Source organism: Homo sapiens, chromosome 10 (assembly GCF_000001405.40).
Source record: "Homo sapiens chromosome 10, GRCh38.p14 Primary Assembly".
Classification (NCBI taxonomy): domain Eukaryota; kingdom Metazoa; phylum Chordata; class Mammalia; order Primates; family Hominidae; genus Homo; species Homo sapiens.
The window spans coordinates 97017582-97045159 of NC_000010.11; the positions used below are offsets into that span (position 1 = coordinate 97017582).

At 50.6% G+C, this 27578-nt stretch overlaps 1 protein-coding gene across 1 annotated transcript in view, besides 5 other annotated features; it reads right to left on the reverse strand.

Annotated features, from left to right (window-relative positions):
* The window catches only part of SLIT1 (slit guidance ligand 1), a 187922-nt gene that overhangs the window by 19544 nt on the left and 140800 nt on the right, over positions 1–27578 (reverse strand). The window contains exons 19-28 of the mRNA NM_003061.3: positions 25789–25932; positions 25320–25486; positions 22407–22539; positions 20117–20185; positions 16890–16961; positions 14025–14096; positions 13176–13247; positions 3669–3832; positions 1402–1526; positions 1005–1102 (exon numbers count right to left, since the gene is read on the reverse strand). Of these exons, the coding sequence (NP_003052.2) occupies positions 1005–1102; positions 1402–1526; positions 3669–3832; positions 13176–13247; positions 14025–14096; positions 16890–16961; positions 20117–20185; positions 22407–22539; positions 25320–25486; positions 25789–25932 (1116 nt within the window). The remainder of the gene's footprint in view (positions 1–1004; positions 1103–1401; positions 1527–3668; positions 3833–13175; positions 13248–14024; positions 14097–16889; positions 16962–20116; positions 20186–22406; positions 22540–25319; positions 25487–25788; positions 25933–27578) is intronic.
* Positions 3326–4159: an enhancer, noted in NCBI's record as "H3K4me1 hESC enhancer chr10:98780664-98781497 (GRCh37/hg19 assembly coordinates)". NCBI's record gives its function as "activates a minimal SCP1, AML or CMV promoter by ChIP-STARR-seq in primed H9 embryonic stem cells {active_cell/tissue: H9 hESC(primed)}" and the evidence as "EXISTENCE:reporter gene assay evidence [ECO:0000049][PMID:30033119]".
* Positions 13602–14172: an enhancer, noted in NCBI's record as "H3K4me1 hESC enhancer chr10:98790940-98791510 (GRCh37/hg19 assembly coordinates)". NCBI's record gives its function as "activates a minimal SCP1, AML or CMV promoter by ChIP-STARR-seq in primed H9 embryonic stem cells {active_cell/tissue: H9 hESC(primed)}" and the evidence as "EXISTENCE:reporter gene assay evidence [ECO:0000049][PMID:30033119]".
* Positions 14173–14743: an enhancer, noted in NCBI's record as "H3K4me1 hESC enhancer chr10:98791511-98792081 (GRCh37/hg19 assembly coordinates)". NCBI's record gives its function as "activates a minimal SCP1, AML or CMV promoter by ChIP-STARR-seq in primed H9 embryonic stem cells {active_cell/tissue: H9 hESC(primed)}" and the evidence as "EXISTENCE:reporter gene assay evidence [ECO:0000049][PMID:30033119]".
* Positions 16687–17443: an enhancer, noted in NCBI's record as "H3K27ac-H3K4me1 hESC enhancer chr10:98794025-98794781 (GRCh37/hg19 assembly coordinates)". NCBI's record gives its function as "activates a minimal SCP1, AML or CMV promoter by ChIP-STARR-seq in primed H9 embryonic stem cells {active_cell/tissue: H9 hESC(primed)}" and the evidence as "EXISTENCE:reporter gene assay evidence [ECO:0000049][PMID:30033119]".
* Positions 20501–21001: an enhancer, noted in NCBI's record as "H3K4me1 hESC enhancer chr10:98797839-98798339 (GRCh37/hg19 assembly coordinates)". NCBI's record gives its function as "activates a minimal SCP1, AML or CMV promoter by ChIP-STARR-seq in naive H9 embryonic stem cells {active_cell/tissue: H9 hESC(naive)}" and the evidence as "EXISTENCE:reporter gene assay evidence [ECO:0000049][PMID:30033119]".

Below are 27578 nucleotides of genomic sequence, written 5' to 3' on the forward strand. Positions count from 1 at the left end.
GGCTGCTCAGGGCAGGGCCGGAGGGCTATCCCCTCCCACAGTGCCCAGTGTGACTCATGAGATGGGGGGACCCCAGAGAAAGCAAACAGGCCTTGGCTCCCACCTCTGGGCAGGCCTCACCCACCCAGTGGCAGCCCCAGCTGTGTCTCAGGGGCTCAGGGGGCAGCTTGAGGAGGCTGGCCAGGGCCCTGTCTGCAGGCAGCACTGTCAGGAGCAGGCTCTTCGAGGGAGATTGGAGGCTTTGGGGTGAATGGAAATTTTCTTTTCTTTTTTTTTTTTTTTTTGAGACAGAGTTTCGCTCTTGTTGCTCAGGCTGGAGTGCAGTGGAATGATCTTGGCTCACTGCAACCTCCGCCTTCCAGTTTCAAGCGATTCTCCTGCCTCAGCCTCCGGAGTAGCTGGGATTACAGGCGCGTGCCACCACACCCAGCTAATTTTTGTATTTTTATTAGAGATGGGGTTTCACTATGTTGGCCAGGCTGGTCTCAAACTCCTGACCTCGTGATCTGCCCACCTCGGCCTCCCAAAGTGTTGGGATTACAGGAGTGAGCCACCGAGCACGGCCTGAATGGAAATTTATAGGAATTTCAAACACCCCTGCTGTGGTCCTTGGCACTGCACTGTATATGCTTTGGCCATGGAATCCGAGTGCCTTCAAAAAGGCCCCCATGGCACCTGGCAGGAGCAGGAAGAAGGCCTGGAGCAGGAGGCAGCAGAGCCCACTCCAAGCCCTGCTCAACCCTGGAGCTGGGGAGCTGTGCGGCTTAGGTATCCACTGGTCTCTCTGTGCTCCCACTGCATCTGCGCAAGGAAGGGCTTGGCCTGGTGGGCTTGGAGAGCCCTCTGGCTATGATTTGGAGTACATGCCTGCCCCCGACAGTGCGCCTCCACCTCCCCACAGGGCACAGGAGGCCTGGGCCATCCCTGATGGAGAGGAGGGCCCTGAGGCACAGGTGCTGGGCCCATCAGCACTCACCAGGCTCCTGCCCCTCCAGGTAACTCACGTGAACGGGGCATCCTCGCCCTCCTGTGCATGGCAGGTGCCCCCATTTTCACAGGGGCCACTGGAACAGCTGTCCAGGGACACCTCACAGTCTCGACCCTGGGGGGAAAGTCAGTGATGGGGACCCCAGGGAGACCCAGGAGTTAGTATGAGCCAACAGCCAGCCAGACCCTCAGCAGCTCAGCCTCTCCCTGTCCCAGGAGTTACTTGTTTTCATTCATTCATTCGTCCACTTCATTCATTCATTCATTCATTCATTCATTCATTCATATGTTAAGTCATTAATTACAGGTTCACTCAAGCATCTGCTCTGAGTCAGGCAGTGCTCTGGGCCCTGGGGACAGCCCTGCAGTGTACACGAAGAGCCCTCCTCCTCCCCGGCCTCTGCCTCCACTCACCTTATAGCCGCTGGGGCAGGCGCACCTGTACACCTCAAGGGGGTCGTTGTGGCAGGTGCCCTGGTTCTGGCACGGACTGGACAAGCAGAGATCACACTTGGCCTGGACAGCCAGCGTTGGAGGACCTGCAGCAAGGGGAGGGTGCTAGTGCAGGGGGAGGGGTGGGCAGCACAGGGCTGGGCACAGAGCACCTCAACCCCGAGGAGCCCATGTCCAAGGAGCCGTTTCCCCTCCTGATTTTTCCCCAGATCGTGCTCACACTCCCCTTGCACTGCCCACCTTTCCAGCCTCCAGACCCTTTTCTGTAAAATGGGGTTAATGACAGCCCCTCCCTCTGGGCTGGAAGGGCTAAAGCAGTGAATTCCAGTGTGCAAAGCATGCTTGGCAGGCAGGCGGGCGGGCACTGTGCACAGTGGCCATTAGGGCCGCATGATCCATGTAAGAAGGGGACAGTTGCTACCACCGAAGTTGGCCAACCCTTCCTCTTTCCCCTCATGCCCTTCTGAGGCAATGACCCCATCCTGACACCTGCTGACTAGGAGGACAGAAGGTGGTCACCTCGGCAGAGAGGAGACGGTGACTTTGTGAGCATCGTGCCCAAGCTCGGCTCTGCAGGTTGGCCACACCAGGGAGCAGGGGTTGTTACCCTCCATGCCTGAGCCAGGGAGGACCATTTTCCCCCACCTCCCTGCTACAGCAGGCCCCTCCAGCATCTCCAGGATGCACTGGTTGTAGAAGTAACCAGAGGAGCCGACAGCCAGGCCGCCTGGGACACCACCCGTAAGGGGCAGCAGGATCTCAGGAGACTAAATAGGAAGACCAGTGAACTCAGGCTTCCCCAGAAGATGCCTTCTAGAAGGGGTGGAATATTACTCCTGCTGAAGAGGCATGAGCATGAATAGAAATAAAAACACTTTTCAGCAACGACTAGCACACATGACGGACTTCTGGGGTAGAGATGGGGTTCTGTTTCCTTTCTTTTTTCCTTTATTTTCCTTTATTTTTTTTTTTAGACAGGGTCTTACTCTGTCACCCAGGCTGCAATGCACTGGCGCACACATGGCTCACTGCAGCTTCAACTTCCTGGGCTCAAGCAATCTTTCCATCTCCACCCAGTAGCTGGGACTACAGGCACACACCACCATGCCCAGCTAATTTTTAAAATTTTTTTGTAGCAACAGGGTCTCTCCATGTTGCCCAGGCTGGTCTCGAACTCCTGGGCTCAAGCGACCCTCCCACCTCAACCTCCTAGAGTGCTAGGATTACAGGTGTGAGCCACCACGCCCAGCTGGGGTTCTGTTTCTTGATCCAGGTGCAGGTTACCTGGGTGAGTTCAGTTTGTGAAACTTCAGCAACCCATTCACTCATGATCTGTGTACTTTAATGTGTGTGTTCTCTTTCGATAAAAATAATAAAACAAAACAAAACCCCTTCTCACCAGCACCAATCCCACCCCATTAAATAAACACAGAGCAAAGGTTTCAGCATAAATTGACTTGCTCCCAACAGCCAAGCCGCAGATCAGGCCCCCCGGAGCCGTTACGGCTGTGACAGCATCCTGCATGCAGGGTGGCCCAGGGCCTCCTCATTAACCTACAGCTGTCAGCTTCATTTCCAACAGTGGCCTCTGAGCTTGCAGAGGGCAGGAGCCGTGCTCCACGGCCTCCAGTGTCCTCCCCCCGCTGTACCCCTGCACATAAAGCCCGGCCCCGGCGGCCACTCAGCCACCTGTCTGTGCTCAGCAGGGCTTCTGGGGCTTGAGCTGTCAGTCACTCAATCCCTGAATGAGTATTTACAAATGCCCACAGTGGAGGGTCCCGGGGCAAAGCCGGAACCAGCCTCCAGTGACACTCCAGCTCTGTATTTCTGTAAATGTCGGGAGAGTGGCTGCTGGGACCCTTGCTCCACCAGGGACTGAGAGAGGTCTAAGTTAACTGCTGAACACAATTCCTACCAAAGGGAGGTCTGAGCGCATGCTCTGCTGCGAGGCTTGGAGCTTCCAGAAACACTGCTGCTATTTTTATTTTCCTTATGTAACCACAGGGAGGGATTACGGCCCTGACGGCCTGGGATTTTTCTGCCTGGCTCTTTTTGTCCATGATATGTCAGGATTGGAAGGCAGCCATCAAGCCGCAGGTGCCTTGTTCCTGTCCCCTGACCCCCCGCCCAGCGGTCACCACAGGGACGCAGGCATGTTAGGAAGGCCCTGCAGTGTTGGGCAAGTTCTGTGAGCCCCCAGCAGCAGGAGGCTGTGCTCCTAGGCTCACCTTGGCATTCAAACTTCTTGGCAGGCGTGGTGAGGAGCAGCTTGCCCTCCATGTCCTGGGGCCCAGCACAACGAGCAATGCCCGGTTCCTTGTAGCCAGTCTTCACCCAGCTGGACAGCCAGCGGAGGTGGCAGTCACAGTATAGGGGGTTGGCACCAATGGCCCTGAGCAGAAAGCAGAGAGAAGCAGGCATTACAGCTTCATGGGGTCCCTCGCCCACTGGGAACCTAGAGTCCCAGGCACTGCACCAGGGGCTGGCAAAAATCTTAGCCTCCATTTCATGAGCATTTACTGTATAGTCAGTGCTGCTTTTTTTTTTTTTTCTTTTTTTGAGATGGAGTGTCGCTCTGTCGCCCAGGCTGGAGTGCAGTGGCGTAATATCAGCTCACTGCAACCTCTGCCTCCCAGGTTTAAGCAATTCTCCTGTCTCATACTCCCAAGTATCTGGGATTACAGACACACACCGCCATGCACAGCTAATTTTTGTATTTTTAGTAGAGACGGGGTTTCACCATATTGACCAGGCTGGTCTTGAACTCCTAAACTCAGGTTATCCACTCACCTCAGCCTCCCAAAGTGCTGGGATTACAGGCGTGAGCCACCGTGCCTGGCTGCCAGTGCTGTTTTAAGCACTGCATATGCATTGTCTCACTTAGTCATCACCACACGCTACTATTCTCATTTTACATGTGCAGAAACCGAGGCTCAAAAAGGCTGAGGAATTTGCCTAAGATCACACAGAGAAACGGGAAGCTGTTGGGGCCATGCTGTTGGGGCCAGAGCCTACGAATGCACTGCCTCCAGTGTGCATGGGGAGAAAGCAACCCACATCGACTGCTGCAATGAGACAGCTGCTTTTCCTGTGTTTGGGCACCGAATCATCTCATCAGCCCCACTGTGCAAGTTTTCTCCTCTCCATCTCAAAGATGTGGGCACCGAGCCTCCCATGGAATAAGTAATTTCCCTGGGGTCACACAACTAGCTAAGGGCAGCCCCTGGATCCAGATGTGCCGCTGTCTGCCTCCGAAGCCCATGCTCTTTTATTTTTCTTTGCATTTTTAATTAAACAGAACACATGAATGCATTCTCATTGTCAGCCACTTTCAAGCATTGCAGACAAAGCAAGTGTCTGCCCTGCACAACACTGTGAATGATTAAATGCCACCGAGTTGCACACTTTTTAAAAAATGCTTAATTTGGTATTATGTGAATTTCACCTCAATTTTTTTGAAGGCACATTCCTGTGTTACTGATGGGGGTGCAAAATAGTAGAGCGCCTGTGGAGGGGAATTGTGTGACACTTATCATATGACTTATGCAATTGCCTTCTGATCCAGCCATTGTTTCTGGGCGTTTACCTGTAGGCACACATAAAGACATCTGTGCAATGGGCCTATTTGTAATGGAAAGACTGGAAACCCCATGTTCATCAATGGGGAGTGGTTATATAAATTGTGATACATTCACATTACGAAAAACAAAAGTCTACACCCCACTGTCACTGCCCTCCACAAAGGGGCACACAGTCACAGGGTCACCATGCTCAGGCGTGTAGCCTTCCAGGCCTTTCCCACACGTACACACGTGGTTCCTCCTTACAAATCACATCACTACTGAGCAGCTTGCTCCTTGTCACTAAACAGCACGTCTTGGGAATCTTCCTGGTCAGCATATAAGCATCTATCTCATTGTGTCCAACTGTTCCGCAATATCCCAGAGTGGATATCCCATGGCACAGTGGACAGCGTCCCTGTTGCTGGACATTCTGGTTCTTTCCAATGGCAGTGAATACTCATACGTGCCTCTTTTTTTTTTTTTATGAGACAGGGTCTCACTCTGTGGCCCAGGCTGCAGTGCAGTGGTACGATCTCAGCTCACCGCAACCTCTGCTTCCCAGGTTCCAGTGATTCTTGTACCTTAGCCTCCTGAGTAGCTGGGATTACAGCGTACACTACCACGCCCACCTAATTTTTTTTTTTTTTTTTTTGTATTTTTAGTAGAGATGGAGGTGTCGCCAAGTTGGCCAGTCTGGTCTCAAACTCCTGGCCTCAAGTGATCCGTCCACCTCAGCCTCCAAAAGTGCTGAGGTTACAGGTTTGAGCCACTGCACCTGGCTCCTTTTTGTGTGGTGTGAGAATTTCTCTAGAACAGATGCCTAGAAGTAGGATTTGGGGGTCAGAGGAAGCACGTGTAATATGCTAATAGCCCGCCCCCAACTGCAAAGGTTGTATCCACTTACACTGGCCATCAGTACAAGGCTGGGCCTGCTCTCACGCCTGCACCAACATACTGCCAACCCCTTTGTTTCTTACCAATCTGATGGGCAAGCTCAGAATCTCTCCACTAAACCACATGAGAGACTTAGAGATGGACAAGACATGGATTTTAGGGTAAGAAAGAGCCAGAATTCCGGCCGGGTGAGGTAGCTCATTCCTGTAATCGCAGCACTGTGGGAGGCCGAGGCAGGCAGATCACCTCAGGTCAGGAGTTCGAGACCAGCCTGGCCAAAATGGTGAAACCCCATCTCTACTAAAAGTACAAAAATTAGCCGGGTGTGGTGGCACATGCCTGTAGCCCCAGCTACTCGGAAGGCTGAGGCAGGACAATCACTTAACCCGGGAGGGGGAGGTTGCAGTGAGCTGAGATCATGCTATGGCACTCCAGCCTGGGCGACAAGACTGAAACTCAGTGGAAAAAGAAAAAAGAAAAGAGAGAGAGAGGAAGGAAGGAAAGGAGGGAGGGAGGGAGCGAGGGAAGGAAAAGTGGGCCAGAGTTCTCTGACTCAGCAAATATGAATGCCTTATGCCTAAAGTTCATTGATATCAACATTATTTTGAAAATATAAGGCTAAATAACGTGAATGAGAATGGGCACATTTACTAAATAACCAATGGATGCCTTGCCATTTTCCACCTGTTTCTGGGCAGGACAGAGGAAGCAGTTACCCTTGAGACCTGTACAACCTGATTAAAGCAGCAGTGGCTCTGAACAGGAATTCCCCAAAATAGCTCAGCTGATGATTCACAATCTTATAAAGCAGGCTGAACAAGACCTGGACTCCGGCCCCCATGCAGCTGCCCCGTGCCTGGGCGACCTTGAGTGGCTCCCTTAATATATCTGGGGGTCACTTCATGTTTCAATAAAGAGCCTGCAACCTAGAGGGAGAAGACAGACAAGCACGCATGACCTAAAAGAGGTGCTGAGGGAACAACACAGCTCAGAAAAGAGAGCAGGTTCGACCTCGGCATGTGTTTCATTTTTTTCTTTCCTTATTTGCTGACAGCATCCATCCTGGCTAACGGGATGGGTGATTTTTTTCTGAAGTTCCAGTGTGTTTAGAAAAACAAAGACTTTTTAAGATAACAGGAATTTTTAAATGGTGGTATATTTAAAATGTTTACACTCACCAGATTAGTATTTTTATACTAACAAAAAGTGTGATGTCACATAAGTATGTTATTCGAAAGATAAATACACAATGTATTTCTAAGTATTTTTTATAGCACATGATAAGGAGTGTGGCCTGGCAATGAGCCACAAGTTGAAAGATGATTGGGAATGCTTTATTTCAGTCCTGTAGCTCATTTAGAGAAAAATGCCAAAAAGATGAAATCTGAGGCCCTGTGAAAGAGAGGGCCCACGGCGTGGCTTACGGTCCCTCCATAAATGTCAGCAAAGTGACACCTGAGATGTAAGTGCTCCTTCCCCTCTCTCCATCATAAAAAAAATATGGGTGCAGGCCAGGAGCGATGGCTCACGCCTGTAGTCCCAGCACTTTGGGAGGCTGAGGCAGGCAGATCACCTGAGGTCAGGAGTTCAAGACCAGCCTGGCCAACATGGTGAAACCTTGTCTCTATTAAAAATACAAAAATTAGTTGGGCATGGTGACAGGCGCCTGTAATCCCAGCTACTCCACTCAGGAGGCTGAGGCAGGAGCATCGCTTGAACCCAGGAGGCAGAGGTTGCAGTGAGCTGAGATCGGACCACTGAACTCCAGCCTGGGCAACTTGTGGCTCATGCCACACCAGCCGTCTCAAAAAACAAAAACAAAAAAACAAAAAACGACAACAACAAAAAATATGGGTACAAAGTCACGTCTAAAGCTATTCAAAAATATAAATTCTGGATTGGCCCACACTTGCTTTTCCTTGTTTCTATACTGAATAGACTCTGAGCCACACCTGAATTCAACATTACAAGCTTTCATTTATCCAAAGGCTGGATTTTCGGGGCTGAGGACTGCCTTGCCCTCTCTTCGGTAGTACTTGTAGTTTGCATTCATCTGGGGACTATTTCTCCTGACGAAAACTCCTGTGAACTCAGTGGGGAGTGCAGAGCCAAGGCCCGACTGAGATGTATTTGGTGGTCAGGGGTTGGGGAGGCAGACACCGCAGCCAGGCCACGCCAATCCAAAAGGACTGTGGATTCAGGTTTATACCCCAGCCAAAGTAAAAATAACCCTGTGTTGTTGATCTCTGGCATAATATGGAAATAGTTGAAACAGTAGCTATTTGATCTGTTCATGCCAAGGCCCTACCCAGCTCCTATTTGCGTAACCTGGACTGAAATAGCGCCCCCTGGCTGTCTTACAAGTCACAGAATCATCCATCCCACTCCTAGGCGATCTATCTGTGCGCATCACTGTCTCCTGCTGCATTTGAGGGCAGAAACCACTAAATCCCCAGCTGTGTCAGGCACTAGCAGGCACCAGTCAATGTCTGGTGAATGAATGAATGCCTGTCTAAAAGCATGAGAAAAGCACAACATCTTAGTGCAAAGGAAATTCAAAAAGAAAAGAACCACCTATCATCCCATAAATGCAACTGATTTGATTTTAGTGTATTCCCTTCCATTTCCTGTGTATATGTTTGTACATCAGAGTGTACAGTCTACTTTATTCTAGGTTTTCATCAAATAATAAGGTATAGTGTTGGCCGGGCACGGTGGCTTATGCCTGTAATCTCAACACTTTGGGAGGCTGAGGCGGGTGGATCACCTGAGGTCAGGAGTTTGAGACCAGCCTGGCCAACATGGCGAAACCCCATCTCTACTAAAAATACAAAACTTAGCCAGGCATAGTGGCAGGTGCCTATAATCCCAGCTACTCAGGAGGCTGAGGCAGGAGAATTGGTTGAACCCGGGAGGCGGAGGTTGCAGTGAGCCGAGATCTCACCACTGCACTCCAGCCTGGGCGATAAGAGCGAAACTCCGTCTCTAAATAAATAAATAAATAAATAAATAAATAAATAAATGTGTTGTCTTTATCATCATTATTAAGTACTTGCTATTCTGTCATATGGGCATGCCATAATTTACTTAATCCTTCCATATTTCCTTTCATGCCAAATTCTTAATGCATTTGGACATCTAGCTTTCCAGCCTACAGCAAATGAGAGGCAACAAAATGCCAGAGTATAGCAATGAAGACAGACATTGGGGAACCCTAGCCTGGGACCTGGTGCATAGTAGATATTTGCTGATGGCTGGCTGGCTGAATGGAAGATGAGTTAACTGCAAAGTAAATAGCAGCAGAGGATTGTGCAGGGTATTGAAGTCCAGCACAGTAAAGAGTGCTCACAATCATTACAGCATGTGTGAACCATGTGAGACCTTAGAAATCATCTTCGTGTAGGTAAGAAAATAGGCCTCAAGAGAAGAATAAATTGTCTGAAAGCCCATTGCAAGTTGATGGCAGAACAAGAACCTAAAGCCCCAAGTCCTGATTAGTCTAGAGTTCAAGGGTTTTAAATAGGAAGACTTCCCCTCTTCCACACACCCCTCCTCCACACTGCGAGTGGACAGGAGAGGCCCTGGCCAGAGTCAGATCAGGAGCAGGGCTTCTCAGTAACATCAGCACCTTCAGGAACCAGGAACACTGGATGGTAACTCCTGGCTAACCCTCGATTGTCACTTGTCATAGAGCCGTGTGCGAGGGCCTCCCTTCAAATTGCATACAGCTTTCACGAAGCCCGGAGTGAATGTAGTGGGTCTATGTCATCCTTTTACCGTTCTTCAATTCCTTATAAGTGCTCAATATTCTTTCTGGAAGAGTTGCAGGTCTTAAGCACAGAGGCGACAACCACTGTATGTGTGTACATGACATATATCCCATCAATACTGCATGTGCATATGTGCAAACACATGAATATAAGTACACACACATCTTCCAGGCTGCTGCCTGTTTCCATCTTAAACCCTGGGTATAAAGGGCAGAGTTTATCCACAAGCTTTCTTGATAACAACTGAAGGTTTCTTTCACACAGATGCTGTTTCGTAGAGAAATTAAGCTTAGGTGCAATTAATAAACACATCTAATCAGTAAAACTGATGCCACTTTCTACAAGTACTGCTAACCTGATCTTTACTTATTGGTTTATTTCTTATAAACTAGATCTGGCTTCTGGCCTGATATCACTGTTCTCCTAAAGAAAGTCTTAATTTATAGATGGGTATAGGCTCAACATTTGTTTTTGCAGCTTTGGTTTTTTTGGTTTGCTTAAAACATATGTTGTTTGTTCACCTCTCATTTGAAAAACAAAACCTCTAGATTTTGAGCTGGAGACAAGATGTACTCAGGTGTTATTTGGTTCTCATGAGGAAGGAGAAAAGGTAGCCAACTGCACATCTGCACAGTTGAACCCCGAGTACAAGAGATACATTAAGGGGGGGCGGAAATGCAAAGGTGTAAAATGTAGACTAGATGCTGAAAAGGCTAAGGTGGACAGTGAAAGTGGACACTCGGCTATGCCCAGGTGTATGCAACAAAAGCTATGTGGTCCCAGGGTAGCAGCAGCCCTTGGTGCCCAGCAGAGACAAGCACAAATGCACTCTGGAGAGGAGCATCTCCAACTTAGCTCTTCAGAGTTCCTAAAGACATGTCAGCAAAAATGAGCATGCAACCAAAAATTACCCAACACAGATGGAAACAAGCCCCTGTGAATTCAAGTCAGTAGGAACAATAAACAACACTGTCCCAACCTGGCCTATGTCCAGAGGCACCACCTCCAGCAGGGCTCACTCCTGCCTCCTCCCACCCCACTCACCCTCTGTATGTCACCATGGGCTTTCCAGGAGTTTCCTGAAACTCAGTTCCCCACAATTCCCTTTCTTTACACAATGAAGTGCAAACTCCCTAGCAGGCACAAATGGTCCTTCACAACAGAATTCCAATGTCCCTTTCCAGATTAATCTCCTCCCACCCCACATTCCTGCCCCAACCAAACACCCTTTATCCTATGCTGGACAACGCAGCATCCTTGAACATCCCATTTTTTCATGTTCATGCCTTTGCACATGCTGTTCCCTCTTCCTAGAATTCCCTTCCTCACTTTCTCCAACTGGCCAACTCCTAGTTCCTTTCCAATGACAGCATAAATGGTACCTCCTCTGTGAAGCCCCTTGGACTTGCCCAGAGTTAGTCACTGCTTCCTTTGAATTCTCTTTATAAGATCCCAAATGGTCACAGTGGGCAGAAACCTTGTGTTAGTAAATTCTTCAGCACTAGAGTCACTCTGGTTACCCAGGATGTATTTATTAAGGCAATAGAGTAAAGAATAAATAGCGAGCTTTGGAATCAGACACACCTAAATTCAAATCCTAGGGAAGCTGCCTAAATTTTTAGAACCTAGGACTGTAAAATGGAAATAATAAATCAAATCCTACCACCTGAGGCAGAGCCCCTTACCCCTCCCACTTCCATGGCAGACATTACAAATCAATCACAGCACCCCTCCCACTGAGTCCAGGTCCAGCCCTGGAATCTTCAGTGCGGTCCTCAAGACAGTTCCTGCCAATCATGTGGAGCTGGCTCATAACATAAAACGCACTTCCCGGTTCAATCATGGGGTAATCAAGACCTTGTAGATGAGGCACAGAGTATAGTATTTGACTCAGGCAGACCCTCAAAGGGCAACACCTGTTACTATTTTATCTCCTGAAGTCTAAGATTGTTTGATGCACCGCTGATTTAACATGCTTTCTGAAGGGTGGGGAACATTACCATATTAAATATACACTCTGGTTTTAGAGTTTAAAATGTAGAAAAGGTGAGTCTTAGAGAAAATCTAGCGAGACTGATGAGTGAATGAACTTCAAGAAGAGTGGCTTGGGGCCCCAAAAGGCTCTCCAACCTGGGTATGCCTGCCCACCAGGCCCCTTTTAGGGCTTGAGGATGGGGCTGACAGCAAAAGGAGACAGTTGCACCTGAGGTGCCAGGCAGAGTCCACGTGGCCACAGTTCTCCTATCCTGCCTCAGCCAGTAATGCCAAGAGATGCCAGGAGAGAATGTGCCTGCTCAGTGCCCAGCCCAACCTCCAGAATTAGGATGGCCCTGTCACAGTCCAGTGCTTTTTGATTTCGTCTGTTTTTTATATGGCAAAATATATATATCACATGAAATTTGCCACTTTCAACATTTTAAGTGTACAATTCAGTCACATTGATTGTATTCACAGTGTTGTACAATATCACCACTACCTATTTCCAAAACATTTTCATCACCCCAAAAGAACTCTGTGCTCATTAAACACCAACTCCCCATGGCCCCTGCCTCCAGCTCCTGGCATCCACCATTCTACTTTTTGTCTCTATGAATTTGACTGTTCTAGGTACCTCATATATACTGAATCATACAATATTCGTCCTCTTGTGTCTGGCTTATTTCACCTAACATAATGCCTTCAAGATTCATCCATGTCATAGCACGCATCGGAACTTCATCATTTTTATGGCCAATACCCCATTGTATGTATGTAGTACGTTTTGTTTATCATCTGTGGACATAGGCTGTTTCCAGTTCGGGGTTATTATGTAAAATGCTGCAGTGAACATTGGTGTACACACATCTGTTTGAGTCCCTGCTTTCCATTCTTCTGGATATACCTCTTAGAGTGGATTGCTGGGTTATACAGTAATCCTATGTTGAGATTTTTGAGGAATCAAGCCCACTGCTTTTAAGGAATTCTCATAGCACTGCTAGCTAAATGGTTTTGGAAGTAATTCTACATTGAATTACAGCACCTATTGGAGGCAGTAAATTTCCAGAGCTTATCCTGCACTGTGTGAAGTCGGAGGCACAGTACTAGTGGAGCGCTTAAGAGCACTGGCCTAGGAGTCAGAAACCTCACCACCCTGCAGCTGTGCAGCTTTGGGCAAGCATCCCACTTTTTCTCCATCCATTTCCCGGTGTGAAAGATGAGAACCACAGCACCTATGTTGTAGGATAACTGTGAGGCGCACATTAGCTGAGGCAGGCGAAGTGCACAGCAATCGATCAATGGTCATGACAACCTTCACTACCGCTTGCGAGGAACTGTTCTTCTACTCTATTGCTGTGGCTGATGAACCACTGGACATATAAGAGTCCCAGAAGGTGCACGTGGGAAGTTCCCAAGCTTAATTTCAGAGTAAAAGCAACAAACTCTGACAATCTCAGGAGGTGGGATCTTCTCAGAAACCAAGTCCTGTTGAAATCCAAAGAGGCCCAGAGAAAGGGGCTAGGGTACTCACAGGTGAGACAGGGAGGTCACGTCTGCAAAGATGCCCTCTTGGAGGGTGGAGATGTCATTGCCGTGGAGAGACCTGAGAAGGGAAGAGGCTGCTGGTGCCTTATCCAGGGACAGAGATGGGAGACCTGCTGGAGGGAGAGGCCCAGCCCTCTGCAGAGAGGGGACAGGCCGTGCCTTCCCTCTAGGCCTCTCAGTCAGTGACCTGAAGGAGATGGCCCCTAGCTCAGCTGGCCACAGGGAAGAAATCCTCCAGGCAGACGGCCCTGTCCCCAAGCCCTTCGGAGGACTGAAACACTGTGTTTACATTACAAACAGGACCCGTGCACCCAGAGCCCTCCCTCTTTTCGTGGAGGACCCTAAGGGGGGAGGCGCTTCTTCTTAGGAAGTTAAGAAGGACAGCCACAGGTTAGGGCTGGGAGAATGTCACCTTGCCCCTGGTGGGCTGACTGAGGCCATCATAATGGATGGACTGAGGGCTTTGATCCCAGGGCAAAAACCTCACAGTGAGAACTCACAGAAGAGGTTCACAAATCTCTTGCAAACAAACATTCTTTAATCTGAACAGAAGTCTCACATGCAAATGAAGGGCCACCTTATTTTGGATGTCCCGCCCCTACCACCACAAACTCATCTTGGGGGTGACAGCAACCCCCATTTCTCAGATCATTTCCCATGCACGCCCCAGCTTCTTGGGAATGAGAGTATCCACAGGGGCTTAAGTGACAGCACTCTGGACTCCACCATGGCACAGCGTGGGCCCTAGACATGGGAACATTTCTGCCCACCAGGTGGGTGGCAGGACCCTCAGTGGGGTGGATTTTCTGGCAGGATGGTGAGTGAGGAGACTTACAGCAGGCGCAGGGAGCGGAGTCCCTGGAAGGCCAAAGGCGGGATGCACTGCAGGGCATTGTAGCTGAGGATCCTGCGGAGGAAGGAGATGGAGGAAGGGCACTGTGTTAGTGCCTGGCCCCTGTGGGCACAGCCGCCGCCCAGGACGTGGAGGTCCCTCTCACCCAGCAGCCTCCTCGGGCTCTGTGAGGGGAGGCAGAGCAGCCGGCAAGTGCATGGGCTGGGCTGCGCCCTAAGAAGCTGGTGGTCTTGGGCATGCCCCCTAATCCCTTCTGCCTCAATCAGTTCCCCCGACTGTAAAATAGGGACAAAAATAATGCCAACTCCATAGGGCTGTCCTGGGGACGAAATCCAGGTGAAGCACTTAGCATCATGCCTGACTCCAATAAATCCTCAACAAAGGAGAGTTGCTGTTGTTATGATTGAGAACATTCCCTAAGGGGCTGCCCCAGCAAGGTGCATAGGCGAGTTCCCTATGAAGGTGACACCTGACTGCGGGGAGCTCACCGTCTCAGCCGACCACTTCCAGGGAGGACAGGCAAAGTCATCTACAATAATTTACTATTGAAAAGCTGTGACAGTGAGGAAGGTGCTGTCACTATTCCCATCTTATAGATGAGGAGACTGAGGCCTTGAGAGGTGAAAAAACTTCTCCAGGGTCACATTATTAAGTCATTAAGAAGGCTGGATGCGGTGGCTGACTCTTGTAATCCCAGCACTTTGGGAAGCTGAGGTGGGCGGATCACCTGAGGTCAGGAGTTTGAGAACAGCCTGACCGACATGGCAAAACCCCGTCTCTCCTAAAAATACAAATATTAGCCAGGCATGGTGGTAGACGCCTATAATCCCAGCTACTCGAGAGGCTGAGGCAGGGGAATCACTTGAATCTGGGAGGCAGAGGTTGCAGTGAGCCAAAATCGCGCCACTGCACTCCAGCCTGGGCGACAGAGCGAGACTCCCCATCTCAAAAAAAAAAAAAAAAGTTATTAAGAAGGGATTTTCATTATAGCTTTCAGTTTCCAGAGCCCACAGGCTAAGCCACTGTCCCAAAATGCTTCCAAGTAACTGAATCCATCCAGGGCAGACAGGCAGATTAACAAGGGAAATCACACTTGCAATAGCGTCATGCTGGAAACAGCCCCCGTGTTCCCCAGCAGACGAATGGATGAGCAAACTGTGGCACATCCATGCCTGTACAGTGGAACACAGCTCAGCAATGAGAAAGAGCTACCGGCACATGCAACACCACACCATGGGTGAAGCTCAAAATAATCATGCTGGGCGCAGAAGCCAAGCAAAAACGACTTTCTCCATTTGTATGTAAAACCCTAGAAAATGCAAACTAACCTACAGTGACAGAAAGCAGACCAGTGGTTGCCTGGGTCTCGGAGCTGGGAGAGGCAGGAGCAGGGGATTATCAAGAATAGCACTCTTTTTCTTTCTTTCTTTTTTTTTTTTTTTTGAGACAAGGTCCAGCTCTGTCACCCAGGATGGGGTGCAGGGGTGTGATCTTGGCTTGCTGCAACCTCTGCCTCCCAGGCTCAAACCATCCTCCCACCTCAGCCCCCCAAGTAGCTGGGACCACAGATGTGCACCACCACACCTGACTAATTTTTTTATTTTGTATTTTGGCTTGGGCCCACATTCAGCTCCTGGAGAATGGCTGGGTCAGGGCCCCTTCCTTTTTTGGGTACTGGCTCTACTGTTCTATCTGTAAAGTGAGGTGTTGGAAGGTGAATGAGATACTTTTACACACCAGGCAAATATAAGGGACACTTGGTAATATGTTCTGATCAGTTGCTTGGAATATAATTAAAGCCAGCATTTAAATATCTTAGAATATGGCCACAAAAAATGTTCAGAGGGTCACCGCTCACAACAATCCAAACTGGAAACAACCTCAATATCCATCAAGACTAGAATAGATGAGGAAAGTGTGGCCCGTTCCTCCAAAGGAACATTACCTAGCAATGAGAATGAACAGACCACAGCTGCCACGGTGGCATGAATGGATCTCATAGACAATGCTAAGCAAGAGAAGCCAGATACAAAAGACTATCACCCATATGATTCCACTTGAACAAAGTGAAAATCGACAAAATTAGACTATATTATTTAGAAATGCTTATGTAGATGGTAATGCTGTAAAGAAAATAAAAGAAGTGATCCTCATAAAGTCAGGACAGCAGCTGCCTTGGGGTAGGGGAGGAGACAGCAATAAGGATCAGGAAGGGACAAGGTGCTAGCACTGTTCTATTTTTTTTTTTTTTTTTTTTCTGAGACAGAGTCTCGCTCTATCACCCAGGCTGGAGTGCAATGGCACGATCTTGGCTCACTGCAAGCTCCACCTCCCAGGTTCACGCGATTCTCCTGCCTCAGCCTCCCAAGTAGGTGGGACTACAGGCACCCGCCACCCAGCCCGATTAATTTTTGTATTTTTGGTAGACATGGGGTTTCACCATGTTGGTCAGGGTGGTCTTGAATTCCTGACCTCAAGTGATTCACCTGCCTCTGCCTCCCAAAGTGCTGGGATTATAGGCGTGAGCCACTGCGCCTGGCCGAGTGTCCTTAATTTTTGACTTGGTATCTACATGTGTGCTAGCTTTATGATTATTTGTGAAACTGTATATTTATTTTTTTGCACTATTTACTTTTTGCATTATTATTTTCCATATATGCCATATGTTGTATTTCACAATGAAAGATGTTTTTTCAAAGTCTTTTAGGCTCTCAGGCCCGGCACCCTCTCCAGAGGGCAAGGCGTCTGCAGGCGAGGGATCTGGGAGCAAAAAGCACAGGCTGGGGCTAGGGAATGACTCACAGCCATGGCCCCGGGGCCCCCCACCCCAGCCCTGCTGGGACTCACAGAGTGGTCAGCTGGCTCATGTTGGTGAAGGAGGAATTGCTTAAGGAACTGATCTTGTTGTTGCTCAGGTCCCTGGAAAAGGCAAAGGCATCATGATTTAGAAAGAACTCACTCAGCCCTGGCTCACATTCACGGGCTTCTTCCCCTCCCTCACTCTGCCCAGGGCCATTCCCCAGCCAGGTTGGCCAGGGGTGGAGAGGAGCCCTGGTGCACAGCCTCGGGTCTCAGCGCTTGCTTAGCTACAGTGCTGCGCTGCTCCCTCAACTCCCTCAGGTACCAGGGCTTGGTGCCTCCATTTCCTGACCCTCACCCCCATCCCTCTGCAAGCAGAGCCTGGCTCTGCCCCTTTTTACCATGGGAACACTCCCACCAGGGTGTTGGTGGCCTCCCGACCAGATCCAGCACTCTCTCCTTTCTCTCCTGCCAGCACCTTAGGTGGGCTCGTTCAGAAGCCCTCCCTACGAGGCAGTCCTATGAGGGAGAGGGCAGCCCCATTTGACAAAGACCCAGAGTCTCAGAGGGATCCATGACTCTTGAAGGGTCACCAGCTGGTCGGAGGCAGAGCCAGATTCAAAGCCGGTCCACTGGCCACAAGCCCAGGTTGCTGCCATGGCCTCTCCGAGTCACCTGTGGCATCTGACACAACTGATCTCTCTTCTCTTCTCAAAACTCCCGCCACCCGCTTTCCTCCGCTCCCGACTGTCTTTGGGGGCCTTTGGCTGTGCCTCCTCAGTCTCTGGTAGAAGCTTCCTTTGTACTCAGCCCAGAGGCATGGGGATTGCTAAAGCCCATCTGTGCCCTGTTTAGTCCAATCTGGGTGCCCTCGGGGACGCCCCTGTGCTGACAGTGCCCCCCTCCCCATGGCCCCAGCCTGTCCTCTCATGAACTCCTCCTCCTGATGCCCACAGATACTCAAACTCCGCCCGCATCTTGTTCTCCCTACCACGCCCCATCCCCCAGGCTCCAGCTCCATAATGCTGCCTGCCCACACATCTGCCCTCTCATCCCACCCATCTGATCCGCCCCTGGCTGGTGGCCCTGGTCACCTCTCGCACCGTGCCCTCCTCCTGAGCCAGCGTCCTCTCTCTCTGGCTCCTGCCTGGGATTCTGACCTCATCTCTCACCCACTGCTTTGCCCCTTTTGATCCATCTGCCATGAGGGTGGCACCAGAGCAATTTCTCTATGACACAAAGCTGACGAAACCCCACAGTGGCACCCATGTGCCTAGCATGTGGACTCCAGGCCCTCTAGCTGGCCACCTGTCGGCACTCCTGGGTCTAGCCCCTGCCCCTCCCTCCCTCTGCTCCCTGCTCCGAAGACTTCCCAGGCTTAGGATTCACTAAGCTTCTTGAAGTTCTCTGAGCAGACTACACTCTGTGGCCCCAGACAGCTTATTCCCTCTGCCCACCAATGAACTCCAGCTCGTGTTCCAAGATGCCCTCCCCGCAAGCCGCCTCCCTGAGTTGATCACATCCTCCTTGAGCCACAGCCCTAATCAGCATTGACCTCTGTTGGAACCCTTATCACCCACACGACTTTATGCGCTCCCTCCCCTCCCCTGCATCCTCCCTAAACCATGACAGTCTGGAGAGGGGGCCATGACTTCGGGGCCTTCACGTCTGCCCACTTCATGCGCTCTCAGCTCAGGAAACATTTAGAAAATGCAACGATGTGCCGTGCCTTCATCTTCTCCTCCTGAACGTTCCTCTAATCTAATTCTAAATCATTCCACTGTCTTTGGAGATACATTTAAGTGCTCTACTGAATGTTCAACACACTTTGTGGTCCTCCCCTGTGATGAGGAGGTGGTGGTACTTCAGCCCCCAAGAGGCAGTTTCACTGGCTCAAAGCACTCTGACACCAGCCACTGAATCACACTACTCCATCCCTTCTCCACCCCTCCCATTGGAACATTCAACACACATTGGCCAGGTCATTAAGCAAAGACAGATAAATTGGAGCTTCAAAATTCTGTAAGCCAGAGCCGCCCAAAGTAGCCAGTCCTTGAACTAAATTTCACCAACCCACAATAAGAAACTTGGGCCAAGATCCGGTCACCACACCTAGCTTAGTTTACGCGAACATTGTTTCCATAGCAAGACTTTCTCAACAAAGGAAGCAATACATTGATTTAGATTCTGGTGTAAGCGCCATATCTAATTACAAACCCATTACAAACAGTTCTGGGACTGATGTGGGCCCGTAGATTGCACTTGGAGTGGGACTGCTCCAAATCACACTAAGGTGGAATGTTCTCTGGACTTCTTTTTGGTAGAATCTGGCCAAGGAGCAGATAAAGACAATTGAAGTGAGGAGCTAGGTAGGCTAGAAAACTAAAAGGAGCTGAACTTATTATCCTGAGGCTTATTTTGTATATTTTCATGGAGTAGAAGGGGTCAAAGGTGGAAATAATAGAAAAGCAGAGGCGTAGCCTGAAGAAAAACTTAGTTACAGGTATGTATTTGTAGCTGCCATAGTTCATACTTGGTTTGAGAGCTGAGCTGGACCGAGAAGCTTTCCATCACCCTCCACTTTTCCTGGCTCCTTGGCTCCTAACCTTGCAAGAATAACCCCCTTTGTGTGTGTGTGTGTGTGTGTGTGTGTGTGTGTGTGTGTGTGTGTGTGTGTATGTGTGTGTGTGTGACGGAGTTTTGCTCTTGTTGCCCAGGCTGGAGTGCAATGGTGCGATCTTGGCTCACTGCAGCCTCCACCTCCCGGGTTCAAGCGATTCTCCTACCTCAGCCTCCCGAGTAGCTGGGATTACAGGCATGTGCCACCATGCCCGGCTAATTTTGTATTTTTAGGAAAGATGGGGTTTCTCCATGTTGATCAGGCTGGTCTCGAACTCCAACATGAGTTCGAGAGGTTATCCGTCCGCCTCAGCCTCCCAAAGTGCTGGGATTACAGGTGTGAGCCACCGTGCCCGCCCGACCAGGATAACCCTTTTAACAGTCACGACCAGCCTCACGGGGGAGCTTTGGGGAGACGGCGTGGGCAGGAGGAGGAGGCAGGTCCAACCCAACATGGCCTGGAACTATGTAATTGCCAATCGTGGCCACTAGGTGGCAAAACAGCTCTAGGCACAGCTGTTCCCAGAGGGGAGCAGGGAAAGGAAAAGAAGCAGGATCTGCCCAGAAGTGAGGTCCGTAGGAAATTCCAGGAAAGCCGGAGTCCTGATGGTTAGATGCCAAAGGCCCTCCTGTCCTCAAGCGGCCTGGATACTTACACGAGCTGCAGGTACTTGAAGGTAGACAGCTGTCCCGGAACCAGCGTGAACTGGTTCCCGTCCAAATAGCTGCAGAGAGAACACAGCGGCGTTAGTGCCCATCTCCACCTCTGGTGGTGCCCCATGCTGGGGACAGCCTTCCCTGCAGCCAGGGACTTCGCTCTCATTTCCTCTCCTCCACATAGGCCACACGATGGGCCCAGAATCACTTATGGGAGGAGAAAATATGTACGTTGTTGAAGCCATCTGGGGAGGTGCCACCCAGAGGACTTGGTAAAAAGCCAATAGTCACGTGGCCTCTCTCGGTTCCCTTCTCGCTTCCCTTCTCACCCTCCCAGCCTCCTCCTTGTCCATGGACACTCCCTGGGCCCCTGCCTTCCCCTCCCTGCTCTGCTCTTTCCTGGCCAAATAGATCTGATTTGCACGTTACCGGGCCCTGCCAGCTCCCAGGGCCCCCTGTCCACCTGCTGGCATGGGCTGTGAAGCTGATTCACAGCCAGACTGCCCAACCAGTTCCCCCTCATTCCATCAGCACCCCTCTGCCTTCCTGCCTTCCAGGCTCCGCACCCTGATGTCGCTTCTCCTCCTCCCTCTGCAGCCAGTGCCACCGCTGCTCTCTCACAGCTTGCTTTCCTTGCACTCTCATGCCACCCGCCGACTGTGCACCACCACCCATGCCCGGGCTCCTGCTGCAGCCTCTTCTGTCTGTTCTCTGCACCTTGGACCTCCCTTCTGGCCTCCACTCTACTCACTGCTATCCAAGTCACTGTCCTTAAAACCAAGCCCACCGAAATCCTCCTAAGCCCGAAGCTTCCCAAGGTTCCCATTTCTACAGGATAGAGCTTGGGATTCAAGATGCTCTGAACCTCCCCCTCTTCCCTTCATTGTTGACCATTCATGCCTCCAGCCTGAAGGTGCTAAGCAGTGGCCCAATGCCAGGAGCTGAGCCAAGCTGAGCTCCAGCACAGGATCTCCACCCCCCAACTAACTACAGCCTGCAGGACAGCTCTCCCCCACTTCCCAAAGCCCCAGAGAGGAGCAAAAGGAGGGCTGTGCTCATCCTTACCCCTCGCTCTGCATCATACAAACTGACTTCCCACCCATCTCGTTTGATCCTCGAGGCAGTCCTCGTCCACATACCCAAGTAGTCCCATTTCACAGATGACAAAACTGAGGTTTAGAGAAGTTAAAAGATTTTCGCAGGCTCTGAACTTCACCATCTTCAGTCAAAGAAGGTAGGCTGCCCCACCCATCCCATTATTCTCAGGGCTGCTAGGAGGCTCCAAGGAGAAAGCAAGGACTCATGAGGTTTGTAGGACACTAACTCTGCAGTAGAAAACAGGGTGAAGACGGGGCAGGCCAGGCCCAGGAAAAGGCCCGCAGTGGTTGATGTGCTTGTGAAGAAAAGGCCAGCCTTGCTGGTAATGCAAGAAATAACAAATAGAAGCCTCATCGCTGGTCCTGGGGGTGGGGGGAGAAAAGCTCAGCTTTGGAGGCCTGGAGGGATCAACCCCAGAGCACAGGAAGAGGTCAGAGGTCAGGAGCTGGCCAGAGTCTTTCATTGGGAGGTGTCTGCTGAAGAAGTCCCAGCTCTCCATTCCTGTTTGTCAAATGCATCTATGTCCAATCCTCCACATGTGCTCAGATACCAAATACCAATCAGCCAGGATTTCAGCACCATACTCAGTGCTGACCCAGGGAAGCAAGAAGGCCACCTTCTCACATGGTCAATGGGAGTGCAAAGGAAACAGATTTTCTTGGAAGACCATCAGGCAAAAGGCAGCAAGAGTCCTAAAAACGCACCGCTCTCTGACTGGCGATTTCAGTGAGGGGGTGTTAGCACTGGTGCTGTTTATGACAGTAAAAAAAAATTGGAAACAAATATCCAACAAAAGGGGTTTTGTTATCTGGGTCATAGTAGATTCATGTGAAGAACACTACACTGCTGGTGCAAAAATCACATTTGTGTCTTCATGACACAGGAGCCTGAGACAATGACAGGCGGGAAAGCAAGGTTCTCCTCATTTTAAAGGCGGAGCTTAGTTTAAAGGGAGGAAGCACTCGCTGCCATGCGGTCATCAGGTGACCGCAGAGGGAGAATCAGAGAGAAGCTCAAAGCCTTTCTGGAGGCAGTGTTTTCTGCAAAGCCCGAACTCCAGCTCCTAGTCAGCTAATGCCTGCTCTTGGTCACCTCCTCCTCCCATGGCTAGGCCCCAGCCCCTCAGGAAATGCCCCCACTGTCCCCGTCCTGTGGACCCACGTGAAGGGGGCAAGGCCTTGAGCTACTCACAGTTCTGTGACATTCTTGGGAATGCCCTTGGGCAGGGCCCGCAGGTGCTTGTTGCTGCATCGGACCACGGTGTCCAGGCAGGCGCACTCCTGTGGGCACTGTGGGCGGGGCAGGCAGCCCCCCTCCTCCTGGCCTAGGGAAGAAGGCACGAAGCCCCTGTCAGGGAGGTGGACGGGCCGCTGTAGGGCCTCCTACAGTCAGGGCCATGCTCTGGGGCCTCTCAGAACAGAAGACCCCTCTGACAGTACCTTGGCCATCAGTAAGTCTGTGCACTACACCTCCCCGCCAGCCACCACCGCCACCAGGAATGAAGCCCCCTGGAGCAGTTTTGAGGTTAAAATAGGTCTTGAGTTGGTCTCTTTCTCCTCAAACTCAAAGTGGACCTGGTCAAAGTAGAACAGGAGGATGGCCGCGCACCATCCCATCCCCGGAGTGCCTGCTACTCCGGGCACTGGATCGACATTGTCTCCTTAACAGTACAGTTAGGGGTGCAGCATCGCCCCTAGAATGCAGGCATGAGGAGGATGGAGACCTGGGCCTCTTTTCTCCTCTTTTTTTCACTGATAGAGCCCAGTGCCTAGTGCAGTGCCTGGCACGCAGCAGCCCTCAAAACAGATGAGTTGAATGAATGAATGAACAAGTGGATGAATTTCCATTTTATTGAGGTCTGGAGACGTTAGGCACCTTGCTTGAATCATAAAGTGGGTCCAAGGCAATGCAGAGTCTGAGCCCAGGTCTGGCTGCCGCAAAATCCGAGCCCTCGATACCACACCATCCCTTCATTGATTCATTCATCTATTCAAAAAATCTGTGCCTTCCTTTCTGCTGATTGGGTGTCAGAGAGATGATAATATCACCACGGTCGGAGTTCTTGAGGACACTGGGATGCTGGTAGCACATGCTCCCGGGTGACAGTGACCATCAGTTATGCAGGTCGCCTGTGTGCAGGCCCCACAGGATAAGGGTGAACTCACTGAATCCTCAGAACAGCTCTCTAGTGAATGTGTTACTATTAGCCCATTGGAGCAATGAGGAAACTAAAGGCAGAGTGGTTCAGAAACTTGCCCCAGCCTGGAGCAAGCAGCCTGCCTCCAGAACCTGCTCGATTGGCCACCAGGCTCTCAGCAGCAACATCTTAGAAATATTCACATCCTTTCACCTCTAGGAAGCTGTTCTAGGGGAGAGTGGAATATATACGTAGGGAGCATCTACGAGGGTGCTCCTGGCAGCACGATGCATTGGAGCGGGACTTGGGAGGTTGTCTGAATGTCCAGCAGCTGGGGGCTGCTTACATCAATTGTGGAGCCTTCCAGATAGCGGTCCATCCTGTTGAAAGGTTTTCACAGGTGGCCCTGCAAGATCCTCTGTGTGCCACACTTGTGCACATGAGCACACAGCAAAGATCTGGAAAGCCACATAGCAAATGTCGACAGGAGTTATCCAGAGTTGGGGCATGGGGGCCGGGGGGTAGTGGGCAAATCGTTAATTTTTTTTTTTTTTTTGAGACAGATTCTCATTCTGTTGCCCAGGCTGGAGTGCAACGGTGTGATCTCGGCTCACTGCAACCTCCACCTCCCAAATTCTAAAGATTCTTCTGCCTCAGCCTCCCAAGTAGCTGGGACTACAGGCATGCGCCACCATGCCTGGCTAATTTTTGTATTTTTAGTAAAGAGAGGGTTTCAGCATGTTGGCCAGGCTGGTCTTGAACTCCTGACCTCAGGGATCTGCCCGCCTCGGCCTCCCAAAGTGCTGGGATTACAGGCATGAGCCTCCGCGCCTGGCCTGTCAGTAACTTTTTTAAATCCTCCTTCTGGTTGTCCTTGGTTGTTGTTGTTTTAAGGAATGAGGATGCATTTCTTTTGTAAAAAGAAGGATAAAAGGAAACCGTATCTTGGAAAAAATAATGTTTCCAAAGGATAGTTAATGGCATGAGAAAATGCCCAAAATATATAGTTAGGTTTTAAACAAATCAGACATTTTTAAAAAGACTTGCAAGCTATTATTATATAAATTAATAAAATATATATGTAAATAGTATAGACTCTTTTTTAAATTTTAGAAGTCAGAAGCAAAAGTATTCTTAGAGAATTCATTAATTTTGTTTAGAAAATACCCTGATGGTGTTTCTTGGGGTGAAAGTCAAAGCTCTCCACTGCCACGTGGCCTGGCCAGGCCAGCTGAGGGTGGAGCTGCCACTGGGAGTAGGCTGCAGGGGGTAGAAGGCAAGAAAGGGAGAGACCAGGGAGAAGGGAGGCACCTTAGCACCCAGAAGCGGAGAAGGGGGCTGGAAGCTGAGGTCAGCCAGGGAGAAATTCCCTGCGGCAGGGTGCTGAGAGACACTAAGGATGGGATGGCTGCACAGAGAAAAATCTGCTTCCTACAGTGACCTTCCGTGCTTGGTGCTGTGGCGAAAAAATGAGGGATGGGGCTACCCTGAGAAGTCCCAGGAAACAAGGCATTGGAGCAAAGAGTGACCAGGGTTTCCTACATATGGGGGAGGGGACTCAAAAGGGTTCCATTGCATATTAAGATAAGGTGACCCCATGAGTCTAGAGTGCTTAGGGACAGCCAAAAGGCAGGTCTGAGTTCACCAAACTTACAGAAAGAAACTACACTAAAATGGGAACTGTTTTCTCTGAGCGATGGAATAATAGGTAAAGTTTATTTCCTTCTTTTATCCATACTTTCCCATTTTTTAAGGATAGGAACTTTATTGCTCTTATAACCACACAAAGACACCACCAGGCAGGCGCGTCTCCTCCTGAAAACAGGGCCTCCCCTCCCCACCTAACCTCTCCTCTCAGGGGCATGCCAGGGGGTGCTGCCTGTCCACTCCCATCTTCCTCACCTGCCCCACCCCACTGGTTGGACCCAGGGCGCCCTCTCCCTTGCCACCGGGGGGCCACGAGTTACCTTCCTCACACCTGAAGTCAGGGAAGGCCACGTCCTGCAGGGGAATCTGCCGCAAAAAGTCAGGGTTCTGGCATCGCGGGTTCCCCGTCACGATCTTGCGCTTCCGTAGCCAGCCTCCTAGCCAGGCCAGCTGGCAGTTGCAGTTGAAAGGGTTGGCCAGGAGATTCCTGGAAGAGGCAGGCCAGGCGGCCATGGAGACACTCTGCCCCTCTCAGAGGTCCCAGCAAACCCCTCCTGTACCACGGACACAGGGCCACATGGCCACATGGCACTGTCTCCCAGACCACCACCCATCACCAAGAGGACCGGCTCTGAGGACCGGAGGGAGACTTCGAAATGTGGAACCCACGTTTCAGCAAACCACGAAGACCCAGCACCCCCAGGGTGAGCTCTTTCAAAGTGGCTGGCCGAGACGGTTGGGACGGTTGCTCCAGAGCCCCCGCCCGCCTGTCCTGGAGGCCGGACTCACAGTGTGGAGAGGGACTGGAGGGTGTCGAAGGCTCCTGGGGATACGGTGGTGATCTGGTTGTCGTAGAGCGAGAGGAGCCGGACGTTGCGCAGGCCCGTGAAGCTGTCGTTGTGGATGCAGCTGATGCGGTTGTTCCGCAGCATTCTGGGGAGGAACGGGGGAGGGAGGAGGGGACCCTTGCTGCCCTGCCAGCCATCCACCTGGGCCACGCAGCTTCCGCCATCGTGGCTCGTTCACAGTTCTCCTCCATAGGCTGCGAGCCGCAGAGCCAGGAACACGCACCAGCCAGGCCCCGGCCAGGTGAGGCGAGTTTTACACACCTGTGCCCACTCCAGACCCGCCCCCGCCTCTGAGAAGCCTCGAGGCTCTGTCTCTCTCTCCCTGCCACTGCCCTGTCCCCCATGCTGGCCTTGCCTCCGTGCCCTGGGTGCCCAGAGTTCCTGCCCGTCTTTAGGCCATGCTCCACATCAGTGCCCAGGAGACTTCCTGAAACCTAATCCATCATGTCACTCTCCAGCTTAAAGTCCACTAACAGCCTCCAAACTGCCCACCGAGTCATGCTCGAACTCCTTACTGTGACCTGAGACCATGTCTACCCAGACCCGGACCATCTCAGCCCTGGCACCTGCCTGCCTCCCTAGAGATGGACCAGCCCTCAGCCTGCTACACCGCTGTGACAGTTTTCTAGAATACTCTTTTGCCTCATCTACATCTGGAAAAGCTGCTGTTCATCTTCAAAAACCCAGCCCAAGCCTGATGCAGTGGCTCATGCCTGTAAAAACAGCACTTTGGGAGGCCAAGGATTATTTGAAACCAGGGGTTTGAGACCAGCCTGGGCAACATAGCGAGACCTTGTCTCTACAAAAAAATTTAAAACTTAGCCAGGCATGGTGGTGTGCACTTGTAGTCCCAGCTGCTTGGGAGGCTGAGGTGGGAGGATCTCTTGAGCCCAGGAGTTCAAGGTTACAGTAAGCTATGATGGCACTACTGCACCCCAGCTGCCTGGGAGACAGAGTGAGACCCTGTCTCCCTAAACAACAACAACAATAACAACAAAAACCCAGCTCAATTTCACTTGCCAACCAAAAGTAAAAACAAAAACCAAGTCAACACAGGGTAGCCAACTCACAAAAGAAATTAAAATGGTTTATCAACATTCACAAAAATGTTCAATGTTACTACTAATCAAAGACACTTATGCAATATTGATTTTTTGCCTGCCAAATTAAAAAAGAATGAAAAATATAATAATAATAATAATGACATCCAGGATCTCTGAGAGTGTGAGTGACTGGGCACTTCCACACACTGGCAGGAGATGCCTTTATACCTCCCTGGAAGTGCATTTGGTGAGATGTAGCAAAATCCCCAAAATGACACTTTGTGTTTTCACCCGACTACTCCATCTTTAGGAATTCCTAACAAGAGTATTATCATGCATTATACGTGAACTTCACAATAAAGATATTGTCACAGAATGAATGTGATCCCCTCCAATCCCTATGTTGAAGTCCTAATCCCCAGTGTGATGGGATCAGGATGGGGGTTCTTTGGGAGGTAATGAGGTCATAAGGGTGGAGCCCTCATGAATGGAGTTAGTGCCCTTATCAAGGAGATCCCAGAGAGCTCTCTTGCCCTCTTTCTACCATGTGAGGACACAATGAGAAGTCAGAAGTCTGCAACCCAGAAGAGGGCCCTCGCCAGAACCCATCCATGCTGGCACCCTGGTCTCAGACTTCCAGCCTCCAGAACTTCTGTTGTCTATAAACCTCCAGTCTGTGGCTCTTTGT